General features: G+C 45.9%; 1 protein-coding gene across 17 annotated transcripts in view, besides 2 other annotated features; it reads right to left on the bottom strand.

Annotated features, from left to right (window-relative positions):
* Positions 1 to 14,936, bottom strand: part of UBN1 (ubinuclein 1) — a 34,921-nt gene that overhangs the window by 11,058 nt on the left and 8,927 nt on the right. For 9 of the 17 annotated variants that reach the window (XR_007064874.1, NM_001079514.3, XM_011522465.3 and 6 more), the window contains 10 exon segments: positions 13,268 to 13,354; positions 12,681 to 12,776; positions 12,185 to 12,319; positions 11,376 to 11,479; positions 10,242 to 10,680; positions 2,441 to 2,511; positions 1,003 to 1,132; positions 710 to 828; positions 372 to 500; positions 43 to 189 (listed from right to left, as the gene is read on the bottom strand). Coding sequence is in view for 15 of the 17 variants with exons in the window: in NM_001079514.3 (NP_001072982.1) it covers positions 43 to 189; positions 372 to 500; positions 710 to 828; positions 1,003 to 1,132; positions 2,441 to 2,511; positions 10,242 to 10,680; positions 11,376 to 11,479; positions 12,185 to 12,319; positions 12,681 to 12,776; positions 13,268 to 13,354 (1,457 nt within the window). In the remaining 2 variants the exon portion in view is untranslated. 17 annotated transcript variants of the gene reach the window in all.
* Positions 361 to 546: a silencer, noted in NCBI's record as "fragment chr16:4920799-4920984 (GRCh37/hg19 assembly coordinates)". NCBI's record gives its function as "represses an EF-1alpha promoter that drives an FKBP-Casp9 reporter gene in an ReSE screen in HepG2 liver carcinoma cells {active_cell/tissue: HepG2}" and the evidence as "EXISTENCE:reporter gene assay evidence [ECO:0000049][PMID:32094911]".
* Positions 11,173 to 12,372: an enhancer, noted in NCBI's record as "MED14-independent group 3 enhancer chr16:4908973-4910172 (GRCh37/hg19 assembly coordinates)". NCBI's record gives its function as "activates an origin of replication core promoter dependent on BRD2, BRD4, P300/CBP and CDK7 cofactors, and independent of MED14, by STARR-seq in HCT116 cells {active_cell/tissue: HCT116}" and the evidence as "EXISTENCE:reporter gene assay evidence [ECO:0000049][PMID:35650434]".

The following is a 14,936-nucleotide window of genomic DNA, read 5'->3' as shown; positions in this document are numbered from 1 at the left end:
GTCTTGACTGCACAGATGCCCATCTCAGCACACGGCCCTCACCTGGCCTGCATCCAGCCTTTGGGCCAGAGGGGCTTGACTTCCGCATCCAGAAAGCCCTTCACACAGTCCTCCCAAGCCTGGGCTTTGTTGTTCCTCTCCAGGTCCTGGCTCTCCAGTTTGATCTTCACCACCTGGCACAGTAGCTCCCTGAGAAGGAGGCAGAAATCAGAAACTCCAAACTACTTCAGATGCTGCTCCAAGGTTCCAATCATGTGCTTTCAGCAGCCCTGATGAAAGTAAATGAGCCTAACCTTTGTCAGCAATAGGGGACGTGCTCAGACACTGCCCCACCAACCCTCCAAAGAGGCCAAGTCCCAGTGTGGGCACACCTGATCTCATCATTCCATTGGAACTTCTTCCGAGGTCCCATTATCCTCCTGCCCCCTTTTTCTTCATCTTCTTCCTCATCCGAACAAATCCGGTCCCTCTGCTCCTTGTCTTTCTCCTCTTCCAGCATCCTACGGGGTGAATAGAATTACATGGGGCCCCAAGGTGCTCCTGCCCACCGCCTCTCCCCTCACTCTGCACTACTGGGACTTCACAGAGAAGGAGAAAAGGCCAAAGAAGAGCCAAGAGGCTCCTTGGGAAACGGCAGTACACACCGAGAAACGGGAGGGGAAGAGGCAAGACGGGAGGGTTGCACCTGCAAGCGCCAGGACAAACTTACTTGGCAACCTTTGCCTGCGTGTGTGCCTGGCATTCGTCCTGGTACTTGGCCATCTGCTCTGGCATCGCCCTGCCAATGGCTTCCTTGAGCTTCTGGAGAGGCTCCTTCAGACGGCCCCCCTGCGAAGAGCGGGACACAATTCAAGGCAGGTTTACACATCGCTCTTACGCTCAGGACGCATGATGGGGTGATCACAAGGAGGCAGTGGGGCAGCAGACGCATCATTGCTTAAGACTCAGTCACCCCTCCGCCAGGACCCCAAAGCCAAAGGGCTTCACTCTAGAGTCACCCACCTGTTCATAGAGGTGAAGTTTCCGAGCACGCTTGAGCAGGGCATCCTTGCTGCAGGGCAGGAATGACGCAAGATAGGCATACACCCCAGAGCGGACCTGACTGCTCAGCTCCCGAGTCTGCGCCTCTATGCTGAAGAACAAAACACAGTCACCACCGGCTGCAGCTCACTGCAACTCCTGTCTTCATCAGCTCACCGTACGTGGAGAGGAAAGCTAGGAGCCAACGGCAGTCAAACCCTGTCTTGTTGGTCACACAATGTAACTGAATGCCCAAGGAAACACATCCTCAGCAATCAACAAACAACAACAACTCCCAAGCCTGATGAACATGGCTAGGTAATGTGGGCCAAGGCTCTTAGGTCACAATACCAGGAAAACAGAGCCCAGGAGAACAAGCTCTGAAGCACTAAATTTCATAGAGAAAACATGAAAGCTTTCAAAGTGGAAAGTCATGAGTTACTTGGGGTTCAAAGGAGACACTTCCCGGCAGCATTTCTTTTTTTTCCCCCAGTCCCCACGTTTATCAACCATTATGAGGTCAGGGAAAGCCTCACCCCTCCAGTTTCTCCATCTAGATAAGCAAAAAAATATTTCTCTTCAATGCCTTGAGCTGTCCACATTTGGCACGCTCAAGCAGGTTCCTTGTTGACACAATCCTATCGTCCGCACCAATGCTCAGGTGCTCTCTGCAGCTCACACTTCCTGACCCAAGGGGCCAATCCAGGTCCCGGCCAGGCGAGGCCATGTGGTAGAACACCCACATTTTGACAACTGTTCTTACACACACAAACTCCTCAGCTGTTGAGCAACAAGCTTCCCCTGCCACAAACTGCAACCAGGAGAAAAGCGGCAACACTGCAGGCCAGGCCACAAGGATTCACTTTTCCCAGTCTGGATTTACAAATGTTTGCTCATCTGTTTTTTAACCCGATTCACACAGCGTGGTGTCTCAGAGGCTCAGGCATGTGGGAACAGCATTAGGGATGATGCACGTGGCACTAGGAACAGGAGTGCCAGCGAGCGGAACAGCCAGGGACGCCAAGCAACACCCAAGGCAGAGCAGGCCCGAGGCCACCAGGCTGTCTCTCATTCTTCAGGATTCTCAGAGACAGTCAGGCAACACCTTCTCTCTCTCCTCATCTCATACCTGCCAAGAAATCCTCTTCTAACAGGCCATGATTATCACATGTTATTAATGCCTGCTGCCTAAGATCAAGGAGGTCTATCGCTTCTGGAGACAAGTACTTGGTGTCCCTGTTGTGTTTTGATTTTTAAAAGAAAAATAACAATGAAACCATGTTAATCCAATTCTTCTTTTATCTCCTTGGTGGTCACCTTTATGCAGTTCAATTGTACTCCCACTGTCCCCTAGCTGGCTTGCCCCAAGCTCAGTAATAGCAGAAACAGACAGACAGACAGACAGACAGACGATACTCACTCTAATAGGATTCCATTAATATCCTGGGTGAAGAACTTCTGTCTGCTCTCCCCCTCAGCAGCTCTGGCAGCCTGGTGCACAGCAGACAGTAACAGCCGTTAGTGCACTTTCCCCACATGTCCCTTACGCTCACCCACAGGCACAGGAGTCATCGCTCCATAAAGAGCACCTGTCAATACAGTCACACCGCCACCTTTCCAACTCCACCCTAGTCCCAGGTTAAGTTCGCCTGCGATCAATATTCTCTTTTCAAATGCTGCTGCAGCATCTGTGGGCTGCCAGTTCTTCCTGGGACTTAAAACAGTCACAGAAAAGAAAATCAGAGTCAAAGCCATCACAATGCACTTAGCCAGAGGCCAATAAGGCCAACTAACCCCTGCACCCATACACCATCAACTACACCATTAGTTGGGATTTCCATGTATCTACAGTACAAAAATATTCAAGAACTTCAACCAGTCTATAGGATTTAAAGGCCTTTTTATCTACAAAAATAATAATAATGTGTAGCTCTAACACTTAAGGACATTAAAACTCTTTGACAATTCCTAATCTACTTATGGTATACCACGAGCTCTCTATTAGCCAGACCATGTGAATAATTAACCCACCATATTACCTATTAACACCAGATTATAGGAGTTTCAGTACAGTCTTAGTTTGCTTTCGAAAAGAACACAGTTAACACACACCCTGGATGGCAAGCTCAGAGACCCCTGAAGCAACCACGGCAGGCAGCCACGACACAGCGGGAACACAAAAAAGCAGACCCTGTGGAAGTCTGCATCAGGGTTCTCACACTTGGTTGCATATTGGAATTCCCTGGGCAGCTTGGAGCAACTCAGGCCATTCAAATCACAGTCTCTGGAAAGGAGATTCAGGAATGCACACTCTCAAAAGTGGCCCAAGTACTCTTTCAAAGCAACCCTGGGAACACTGATGTGCAAAAAGGGCTGGGAACCATTCCTCTCAACCCAAGAGCTGCTGGTCTGAAGGCTTTGGGTGAAATAAAATTTCTGAAATCAGACATGATATACAGTAACGACAGCAAACAAGGGTGATAAGGTGACTATCTAGAATGAAGGGATCAACCCCTCTGAAATTGCAGACACTGCTAACCCCTCACCATCATCTCCCCCACTCACCTTCCTCTCACTGCATCCTCTGGGGCCCCTTCCAACCACTCTAACTGCTCCATCTGCCTCCTCCACCAGCTCCTTTCCATAGGCGGACCCCAGGATTCTCACTAGAACCCACTTCTCCCAATAACTTCTTTCCCCCTCAGGGCTTCAAAATAACACAGACAATTGTACACTCAAATCTAAACTAAGCCCTAAATCCTCTCATCTAAGCTCTGGACCAGAATTTCCAGTTATCTCTGAGAAATTTCCCAATTACAGTCAACGCCTGGTATAGGCAGGGGATTGGTTACAGGACCCCCGTATATACCAAAATCCAACTGCACAGTCAGCCCTGAGGAACCTGCCTATACAAAAAGTTAGCCCTCTATACACAGATTTAGCATCCCTCAAATCAACCCACATTTGGTTAGAAAACATCTGCGTGTAAGTGGATCCACGCAGTTAAACCCTGTGTTGTTCAAGGGTCAACTGCACTTCTGTGGATGGATGACCCTCTGGTTTGCAAACTCAACTTACACCAGACCCACTGGCTTCTGCTCTTCCCCTGTGTTCCCCACTTCTAATAATTGCACTCCAACCTTAAGACCGCCACTCCCTTCTTCAGAACCCTTCAGCAGCTCTTTCCAAGCCTGGTATCAAACCCAAACTCCTTCACATGGCATTTGGGGTCCTCCACGATCTGGCCCAGCCATCCACCAACTCGCCCATCTTCAGCTCTGCTCCCTGCCTTCTCTTAGGGCATCTTCCCCAGGAGGCCGGCGAAGCCTGTTGCCTCCAGTCTGCTTCCTATATGCCCCCCAAGAGCCTCTCTTTAACCCCTTAAGTCCGGCTATCTGGCCGTCCACACATCACAAAGCTTACTTCATTCTGCTCTGTACTACAGTCCATTGTCTGCGTATCTATCGGGTCCATTTATGTAACGAGCTCATGAAAGACAAGAATGGAACCTTGGCCCGGCGCGGTGGCTCACACCTGTAATCCTAACACATTGGGAGGCCAAGGTGGGCGGAACACGCGAGCTCAGGAGTTTCAGACCAGCTTGGGCACATGATGAGACCCTGTCTCTACTAAAAATACAAAAAAAAGCTGGGCATGGTGGTGCATGCCTGTGGTCCCAACTACTCTGGAGGCTGAGGTGGCAGGATCACTTGAGCCCTGGGCGTGGAGGTTGCAGTAAGGCAAGATCGTGCCACTGCACTCCAGCCTGGGTGACAGAGCAAGACCCTGTCTTAAAAAATAATAATAAAATAAAATATAGAACTGAGTCTTATTCATCAGTATATTTCCCATGGCTGCCTGTCACATAATATTTACTAAATGTTGACTGAGTGAATGAATCAACAAATGAAGATACTACTGTAAAACGGCACGCCACAGGAAGAAAAGCTTAACACCAAACAACCAAAACTAAGTCAGAAGAAAATGCGCAAAACTCAAGCTTCTACAGATCCCTTGGCTAGGTGAAAGCCCAGAGGGGTGAAATCCACAGACGAATAATGGAAAAAAAGGGCATGACTTTTCACCCAGCCATGTGCCAATTTCTTACACTCTTGGAAACATTCAGAATTCTACCTTAGCACTTGGAAGGTACTAGAATTATATTAGTCTGGGAAAAAATAAAACTGAACTTTTTTTGCTTAAGCTTACACTGCTAGTTTTAAGATCGAGAAGCACCCTTACATTAATTCAAACTAATTAACATGTATTTCACATGCCACACTTTCAGACCCATCTACAGCTTAAACTTCCAATCAAATTTTATCTTATTATTTTTTATTTTTTTATTTTAGTTTAGTTTTTGAGACGGAGTCTTGTTCTGTTGCCCAGGCTGGAGTGCAATGGCGTGATCTCAGCTCACTGCAACCTCCACCTCCCGGGTTCAAGTGATTCTCCTGCCTCAGCCTCCTGAGTAGCTGGGATTACAGGCACCCACCCCCATGTTCGGCTAATTTTTTGTATTTTTAGTAGAGATGGGGTTTCACCATGTTGGCCAGGCTGGTCTCAAACATCTGACCCCAAGTGATCCGCCCGCCTCAGCCACCCAAAATGCTGGGATTACAGGCTGAGCCACCATGCCCAGCATCTTATTTTATTGAGATGGTCTCACTCTGTCACCCATTCTGGAGTGCAGTGACGTGATCGCAGCTCATACAGCCTTGACCTCCCAGGCTCAAATAATCCTCCCGCCTCAGCTTCCCAAGCAGCTGGGACTACAGCTGCACGCAACCACGCCTGACTAATTTTTAGATTTTTTTTTCTCACTCTGTTACCCAGGCTGGTCTGGAACTCCTGGGCTCAGGTGATCCTCCCACCTCGGCCTCCCAAAGTACTGCGATTACAGGCATGAGCCACCGCGCCCTGCCAAATTTTCTGTTTAGATAGCCACTTGTACAATATTTCAGAAGCTTTCTATGTAATCTTTACGCAATCTTTAAAAATATTTTAAATAATATTATGTAATTTTAGAAAGTACTTTTCTGTAAACCTTTTGAATTGCATAGACAATATCTCTGAGGGTCTGGCTTTATACTGAAGAGTCGACTGCGGCATTTTAAAGTAAATCTAATTAAAAGAGCAATTGGATATATATCTGATAGTCTTCCAAAAATAAATGGGGTCCCTCACCCCTAAAAAGAGACACTCTTACCCCAGAAGTTGTGTGAATTAATCAATCCTAAGTTAACTAGTAAATGAGGTTAAACATCCCAATCATGCTGATTTATAAGAGTTCCAACAGCCTTTTAATGAGCTGTTTTATTTATTCTAAGAAAAGTCACCTGTAGCCTTTTAGCACCCAGCTCAAAATCTTATATACTGTATCTGTTTTTGCTGAGTAGGAGAAAATCGGGCATGATTTTTTTTAAAAAGATCAAACAAGTTGTTTTCGTTTTTTTTCCCCCTACGTTATTCTCTTTGGATCCATCTCTCCCTGCACTTCTTGTGATGAGGGGTTCTAATTCTATAGAGGGCAGAGCAGAATGGGTGACATGGGGTCTCTTTGATTCCTGCTCTTAGTATTGTCTCTATGTTATGCTTGACTAAAGAGAACCAAAATAGATCTGGGTTATTTGTCCAGCCCAAGGCTGAGTAGCTGTCAAACTACCTCAAGACAATAACCCAAAGGAGCATCAAACCTGAGCTTTGTCAGCACCTGTACCTGCCAACAACCAAGACAAAAGACACCATCAATGCATATTAACAGAGGGCAGGGTAAGGCCATCAAATCACTGGATTCCCTGGGGCCTATACAAATGTACAATACAAATCAGTAACAAAAAACAGGCTGATGTGAGAATGTAGTGAACGTGGCAGAGGCATCACCAAGGTTCCCTCTCAGAGGACCTCTTTAACATACACAAGTTTTCAAAGACATTTTTTAAAGTTTTAAGTACCATATTTAGTTAGAAGATATATCTAATTTTGCTTCCCAGAGTTTTTTCCCCTAAGGGATCAATACACATGGGATAAGAATCTGCTATGTACTGTGGCAGAATACAAAACAGGAACACAGGCCAGGCGCAGTGGCTCACGCCTGTAATCCCAGCTACTCGGGAGGCTGAGGCACAAGAATCACTTGAACCCAGAAGGCGGAGGTGGATGTTGCAGTGAGCTGAGATTGCACCACTGCACTCCAGCCTGGGTGATGGAGTCAGACTCTGTCTCAAAAAAAAAAAAAAAAAAAAAAAGGCAACAACAACAACAAACCAGGATCACAGATTCCTCCCACAAAGAAATTCTCCTCCCAAAGAGGTGCACCCTAGCTCCCTAATCCTTGGATCTGGGCGGCTCTTGTGATTTGCTCTGACCAAAAGTGTGCTGGAAGTCATGTGATACACATAGCCTCTAAGGCTAGCTCTCAAGGGCCCTGCAGCTTCCACCTTTCCCCTCTTGAGATGTTGCCCTGAGACCACCAAGCCCTGAAGAAGGCAGGATGAAAGGCCAGGAAAGAAAAGCCCTGCCAGCACCTGGCCAACTTGCCAGCTGAATGCAGCCATGAGCGTTGGCCCAGAGTCAGGAGAAACGAACTGCTATGACAAGGCAAATTTTGGGGGGTGTTTTGCAGACAGTGATAGAAACTGATTTGTGTGTCACCTAGGGCCAAGATGTAAAGTCTACCCAATCTTATAATAGAGGGAAAAGGGGGGGAAAATTAGGGGTATAAAAAATAAAGTGAGAAACACGTAACACTGCTAATGTCCCAGTTACATACATCAGGTTTACTTTAAATTTTAAAAATGCGATGTCCATTTCAAGATCTAGGATGGACCCCTTATTAAGGATCCAAATATCAAATATCCACATGTGGCTTTTGGAATCATAAGCAATTTGAGTATACCAGTGCATTCCTTCCCTGGGAAGACTATCTTTCCCAGCAGATTCTCAGTGGGATCAGGGGTCCTGAGCATTTGCACACACATGCAGGGACTCCAAGTGCCCCAAGTGCAGGGCCCTGGTCAGAAGAGCGCACCTGAGGACCCTTCGGAGTAGCATTAAGCATCTTTTTAAAATAAGCCACCTTTTTAATGCAACCATAAAAAGTCATGAGGGCTTTATAATATTACGTAAAAAGGCAGAAAACAGTTATTCACAACTATAATTACAGCTGCATAAAAACATATACACAGAGGCTAGAAAAGAATATCCAACTAGAAATTGTTTTTATATTGGCCGGATGGATAATTTCCATACACCTTCCACCCCATTTTTCAAAGTTTCTTAATGCTGTTATAGGAGAAGGGCAATGTGAAGACTCGAATATCAACTTCACACTTGAATACTGTATTTTCCAACCAGAACATCAGCCTCTCCTGGTCACCAGCTCCCCACTGGGACCCAGGCCCACCTTGACTATGGGATCCTGAACCCTGTGTTTGTTATGCCCAAGAGCTAACTGACACTTGGCAATCACTGAGGAGGGGCAGCTTGCCTAACAAGGTGTTTACTCAGCTCCGCTTTCTTGCACCACAGCCCAACATTGTTTCCGGTTATGTCATTCTGTTGCCACTAAATCTGTCCCCATCTTTCCCAAGAAAGTGAAACAGTAAGTTTTCACACTAGAACACAACCTATGGCACGAGTGGGGACACAGCCAAGAATCTGGTTTTGACTTTTCTCTAACGACCATCTATCGTCACATAGACCTTAAATGATTTAACAAGACTTTCAGAAGCTAAGAAACAATTTGATTACGAACCAGAGGATTAAAAAGAACAAGGAGTAATGTTTGGTTAACATGAATTCTGAGAGCAAATATAGGACAGCAGGCTCAAAAACACCAAGTTCAGATTCAGCTACTTCCACCTCAATGTCATACTAAGAGATACTCCAAACCCCAACATGGTACAATTCACTTAAATCATTACATTCAAATACAATACTTGAATTTCCAATGCTGGACACAAGCTGACAAAGATGAGGTAGAGCTTTGAATAGATACTTTATTTGCTTTGTATATGGTGTTCAAATATTTTTTGGAAGTGAGAAAATCATTTTAGCAGTAGCTGACAATTTACCCTGCCCTAAAACACAAAGGATATTATAGGTAACAATGCTTCTGAAATACTGTAAGAATCACTGATTTAAAACCTACAGCTGTAGATTATGACTGCCACTAGAGCTGCATCACAAGTCCTGATGCTTAAGGTAAAATGTTATTTTAACTTAAAGGTAAATGATATTACAACCAATGATCCATGCCTAGTTTACAGTTAGAAATGTGTTACTTGAACAGACAATTCTCAGTGCTTAATTCCCAATCACTGGAGTAAAACAGCAAGAGCTGCTAGATCCTAAAGGTGGTAATGGTGGTTGGTTTGTTTTTTAATGGAATCTTGCTCTGTGGCCCAGGCTAGAGTGCACTGGCGCAATCTCCACTCACCACAACCTCCGCCTCCTGGGTTCAAGCGATTCTGCTGCCTCAGCCTCCCAAGTAGCCGGGATTACGGCGAGCGCCACCAGGCCCAGCTAATTTTTTGTATTTTTAGTAGAAACAGGGTTTCACCATGTTGGCCAGGCTGGTCTCGAACTCCTGACCTCAGGTGATCCGCCCACCTCGGCCTCCCAAAGTGCTGGGATTACAGGCGTGAGCCACTGCACCCTGCCGATGGTGGGTTTTAATGGGACATGGACAGCATTTAAAATTAAGCTGCTTTTCATTCATCACATTTGAGGCATTCCTGTAATCACTACCTAACACTGGATACACAACGCAAGGGAGCGACTGAAACCTAGTGGCAACGAAGCATCTACTCTACGTGTAACTTGTATGTTTACAAACTTTTGTGAATTTGCAAAACCTTCGTAAGAATTCTAAGATTAATCTCTGCCTCAGCTGCCTGCTGCCAACATCATCCGTCTATCACATGAAGGAAAAGATGCCGTGTGGAAAACAAACTGACAGAAAACAGAAAGAGAACAATCTCCCCAGAAGAAAGCAAATTTTCCAGAAATGAAGAAACCAAGAAAGGCCTAAAATGATGCCTGACGGGCAAGGCTTACACTGTTTTCTCCCTCAGGATGAGAATAGGGTTTGGAAAAAGCTGACACCTTAACTGCCAACTCACTAAGAGTTTCTCTGGGCAAGCTTCACGCAGTGCAGAACCAACAGCAATCTGCCCAAACTGCTTCCAGGAAAGCCCAGCCGCACTGTGCCACCATACCTGAGCCAGCTCCTTAACGCGCTTCTCCAGGGGTGCTGGCAGGCCTTCGGGGAGAGAAGAGGGCTGCCTGAATTCCTGGTCCAATCCCACCCCAAGGGAATCACTTCCATCATCCATATCTCGGAAGGGACTTCCTTCTGGAGACTCACTGAGCAGATGCTCCAAGTCCAAATCCGTCAGCGAGTCCATGGCAGTGGCCGCCTGGAGCAAGTCGTTGTCAGAAGTAGAGCCAAAGAGTGAGAGCAAGGGGTCAGAGGCACCCTCCAGTTCCCGCAGGCCCTGAGCTTCCGCTGATGGGACCGCAACAGGCTTATGCTCCTCCTCCCTTTTTTTCTGAGCCTCTTTCTCTTTCTGAAATTTCTTTAGCATCTCTTTAACGCTTAAAGCCCCAGAATATTTCTTCTTCTTCTTCTCCTTACTGGCATTGAGGGCTGTGAAGCTGCAAGCAAGAGGGAAACTGGTCACTCAGACTATAGGACACCTCCAAAGGGAACTCCAGAGGCCTTCACCCCTGCTCCCAGGGTCATGGTCTCCAGGAGAACCTGTCACAGTCCACCCTGTCATTCCTCCTCCCTCCTCTTGGCATATGGAGCTCGTTCTTGCTGAGACCAAAGCTTGAGAGTTAATACAGGTTAGCAACACAGTGTCACATATGCTAAATTTCCGACGGGTTTTTAGAAACCACTGCCAGGCTGAAATAAAAGGTTGCAAAAAGGGGCAGGGAGAGCAAGAAAAGTATTTAGAGGGAGAAAGCAGGAGCAGCAGAGAACAGCAGCAACTTGAAGAGAAGCTGGGGTGAGACCAAGTGAGGAGAAGGAAGCATGACCATAGACAACAAGGGAAAACAGCGGAGACAGAAGGAGAACTGGGGCAGAGAGGAGCACCCCAGAGGACGAGAAACATCAGCAGTCACACAGTGACAACAATAGCTGCCAACACTGACAGTGGAACTATCTGACACACTGAGAGGTGAGCGTCTATGCCCAGAATGGCACTGCGGGAGGCGTGCGGGAGGACAGGAAGGCCAGGCCCTGCTGCCTCTTCCGAAGCTGTGGGGAGGAGGTGAGTCAGCTCCCAGTCGTCCTGCCCTAACAGTTCAGGCTTTATCCTAGCAAAGAAGCTGCTGCCTCTCACCCGGCTTTGGAAAACTTGGACTTTTTCGATTTCTTCTCCTTGTCATAAGTGTCATCTTTTTTCTTCTTCTTTATCTTCTCACCACCTTCCTTCAACTTCCGCTTCTGAGAATTAAAGACAAGGCACAGTTACACGGCTCCCTAACTCAGGGAGCAAGTGCACTACACGGCACTGGCCTTGCTCCGCCCGGGGCACATCCTGAGACCTGTCTCATTTCCTTCATGAACAAAAGCTCTCAGATCAGTCCCTGGACCACAAACCCACAGCATTCCCACCGACGGTGTCTCCTGGAAACACCCAGGGCTGAGACAACAGTGACCATTCTGGAGCCTGAAACCTTTGTAGTTTGAAAGTTACAAGTGGGCCCTACCTCTCATCTTAAACACATAGGCAGTGGTAGACAGGTTTTTAAACACACTGATCCTAAGGCTGACTGGTTTTCAGTGGGATGGCAGCCCTGAAACTGAAGTCCTCTACATGTCCACAGAAGAGGGTCAGCAAGAGTGGTACACATTCCCTCATTCCACAGCCTTCCCACCCTGAGGCCACCTCCAGAAACGACCCCTGCTGAGCCTGCTGGGATGTCATGTGACATGGACATAATGACCAAGTGCTGAACAGAGCCCCCACGGGCACGTGTCCTCATTAGGGCACACGTGTAAGAGGCGAGCCATCAACCTGGCACGGCTCTGCCTTTCCACCATCCTCCTGAGCCGGCCAAGCGCCACGTATTCTGGCAAGTCACCTACTGATCTGATAGGGTCACGTCAAAAAGCATTTCTGAAATCCAAAAGCAAGCACATTCTAACCTTTGGAGATTTTTTCTTCTTTTCTTTAATGAAGTCATCTTCAGACTCTGATGCTTGTCTAAACTGCAGGGTTCCCGAGTTAATGTAAAATCCTCCATACTTCGTAGTCAAAGAAGCAGGAACAAGCTCATCATACTGAAGATGGGAAACAAACTGTCAGCTCCAAGTTCTGCTTCTGCAGTCCGAAGGTGCAAAGTGGGTCTCGAGAGAGATGTGACTGTGCTCCTCTGCCACTTCCAAGAGCATGCTAAAACATCCTCTGGTCAAACATGAATGTCTGAGCTACAAGGTGTTTTGGACAGATCTGGTCATCACTTTCTGAAGAGGGAACTAAGACCCGGATAAAGAATGTCATTTCGTCTCTCATCAGTGCTGCTACTGCCTCATGCTGGGAAGAGGGCACGACTGCTCTGACCCCACCCCCAGCTTCCTGGTCAGTATCAGGAGGAGCTACAGGTACAGTGGGTCTGACACGGCATTTTCAGTAACTACTTACCGCCTCAGAGTTATCGATGAAGGAGTCGGATTCATCATAACCATACCCCATATCGATCAAGTCCTGTATTCGGTCTTTTCTACGTTTCTTTCCACCCTAAAATGTGAAAGCAATAGATTACATGCTTTTTGAATAAACACACAGAATTAACTGTGGCCTTGAACTTCATCAGCTATGACTCAAAGAGGTAATGCACTAACTAAAACAGTCACTCTCTCACATACACACAAACCCCAAAACCTCCTTTCCTGAAAACCTTTTAACATAGAACATATTTGTACCTGTATAAAATGTCCTAGGACAGAAAAATGAACTAAATGGCTTCTTATGCTTTGTACCAAAATATTTCTTCTAAGGCGACCACAGGCCCTTCTCGGTTATTTGTCCAGTTAGCTCTTCACACTAGCTCTGCCATGCCCCTTTTCTGTACCTTAATGCGTTAGGTTTAATAACTGCTTCTCTTCTCTCCATGCTTAAGGCTTACTTCCAGATCAGTGTTTATTACATGATGATCCACTAAAGGAATACAGTGTGGAAACGTCTCCCACCCAATGAGGTTGTTTTGTTATTCAAGAGAGAAATCTTACGTATTTTTCTTCAAATTTTCGGGCAAGGGCCTCTACTTTATGCCTTTCCTTTTCTTCGTCATTGAAAGGATCTGACAGATCTTTCTTCTGTAAAGAGATCGTTCCACAAAAAATAAGTCAGAAAATATTCCCATGTTCTTATTCATAGAAACTTCACTGATTACTCAATACCTCTATAAAAACAATGTTTTCCAGAAAAGGGCAAGGTAGAAAACATGCTACCATCTCATCAATGTTTATCTTAATTAAGAAAGTAAAATTTCCCTTAATGTAGGTTAATAAAACTTGATTGAATGCCTACAATCATCCACCACAGCATGAGGGGCTGCAGGACTCAAAGACAGCAAAGGGCCTTTAGAAGGAGATGCCCAGTCGCTACACAACCACGTTCAATAAAGTGGACTTCCTTTGTAACTCTTAAAATTTTCTTCAGGCATTTAAAAACATTCTAAGAAAGAGTCCATTGACTTCCAAAATAGTCAAGGGCTCAAAAACGTGAAAATCCCACTGAATGTGGTGCAAGTTCTTGAGAGCCGTTCTGCCATACTGTTTAGAAAGGTCTGAATTTGCACTTCTCTCGGTGCTACCAAAGTTAAACTCAGGCTTCCAAGGCTTATTTCCATTTTATAAGCTTATTCTTTTCTCATCAAGCAAATTTTCCACAGATAAGCCTTAAGCTTTGTGAGCAAGGAATCCAAAAAAAAAAATTTTTTTTTTTTTTTTTTGAGATAAGAGTCTCACTCTGTCACTCAGGCTGCAGTGCAGTGGCACAATCATGACTCACTGTAGCCTCAACCTCCCCAGGCTCGGGTGATCCTCCTGCCTCAGCCTCCTGAATAGCTGGGACTATAGGCATACAACACTATGCCTAGCTAAATTTTTTTTTTTTAAGTTTTTTGTATAGATAGGGTTTCATCATGTTGCCCAGGCTGGTCTCAAGCTCCTGGGCTCAAATGATCTGCCCATCTCAGCCTCCCAAAGTGCTGGGATTACAGGCGAGAGCCACCACACCCAGCCAGGAGCCAGGAATCCTAATTTTAATAAGACTCCTGTACGAAGTATGTTTAAGACTTCAAGGTAGACAGAAAACACTAAAGACTGTATGCCTGTTTCAAACAAACTTTCTTATCTCACCCTCCCATCTCTGCCTACTGAAATACCACCTGCAAAGGATCAGTTAAATGATTTGTGGTGTACACATACAATGGGATATTATAGAGCATACATCTAACGATCATACCTCAAATGGGGAGTCTTTCAAACATGCTTATCTGGATCTTCTAATTTTTCTACAATGATCGCATATAACTTGAGTGGTTATGTAACTGTAAGAAATCCCACCAACCTTGAGCAGCACTGGATTCTATGTATACTACTGAACGCCTTGCCAACAGCAGTCTTCCAATAACTACCATTTCCTGACTGTATGACGGAAGGTCCAGCTCTGTCCCAACACTAATCAGGAAATAAGCTCTCTTCTTTCTAAGACCTCCAGGGCCTGTGTCGTACCAGACTTAAACAATGACCATATTGTAATTTCTGTTACCTGCGGTGGTACCATTCTCTCAAAACATCTATAGGATGTTTGTTTTGAGGCTGGTACAGTGTTTTCTCTAACTTTCTATAGTCCTCTGAGTCTAGCACAATGCCTTCATACTATTAAGGACTA

Source organism: Homo sapiens, chromosome 16, assembly GCF_000001405.40.
Source record: "Homo sapiens chromosome 16, GRCh38.p14 Primary Assembly".
NCBI classification, from domain to species: domain Eukaryota; kingdom Metazoa; phylum Chordata; class Mammalia; order Primates; family Hominidae; genus Homo; species Homo sapiens.
This window is presented reverse-complemented; position numbering and strand designations above follow the sequence as displayed.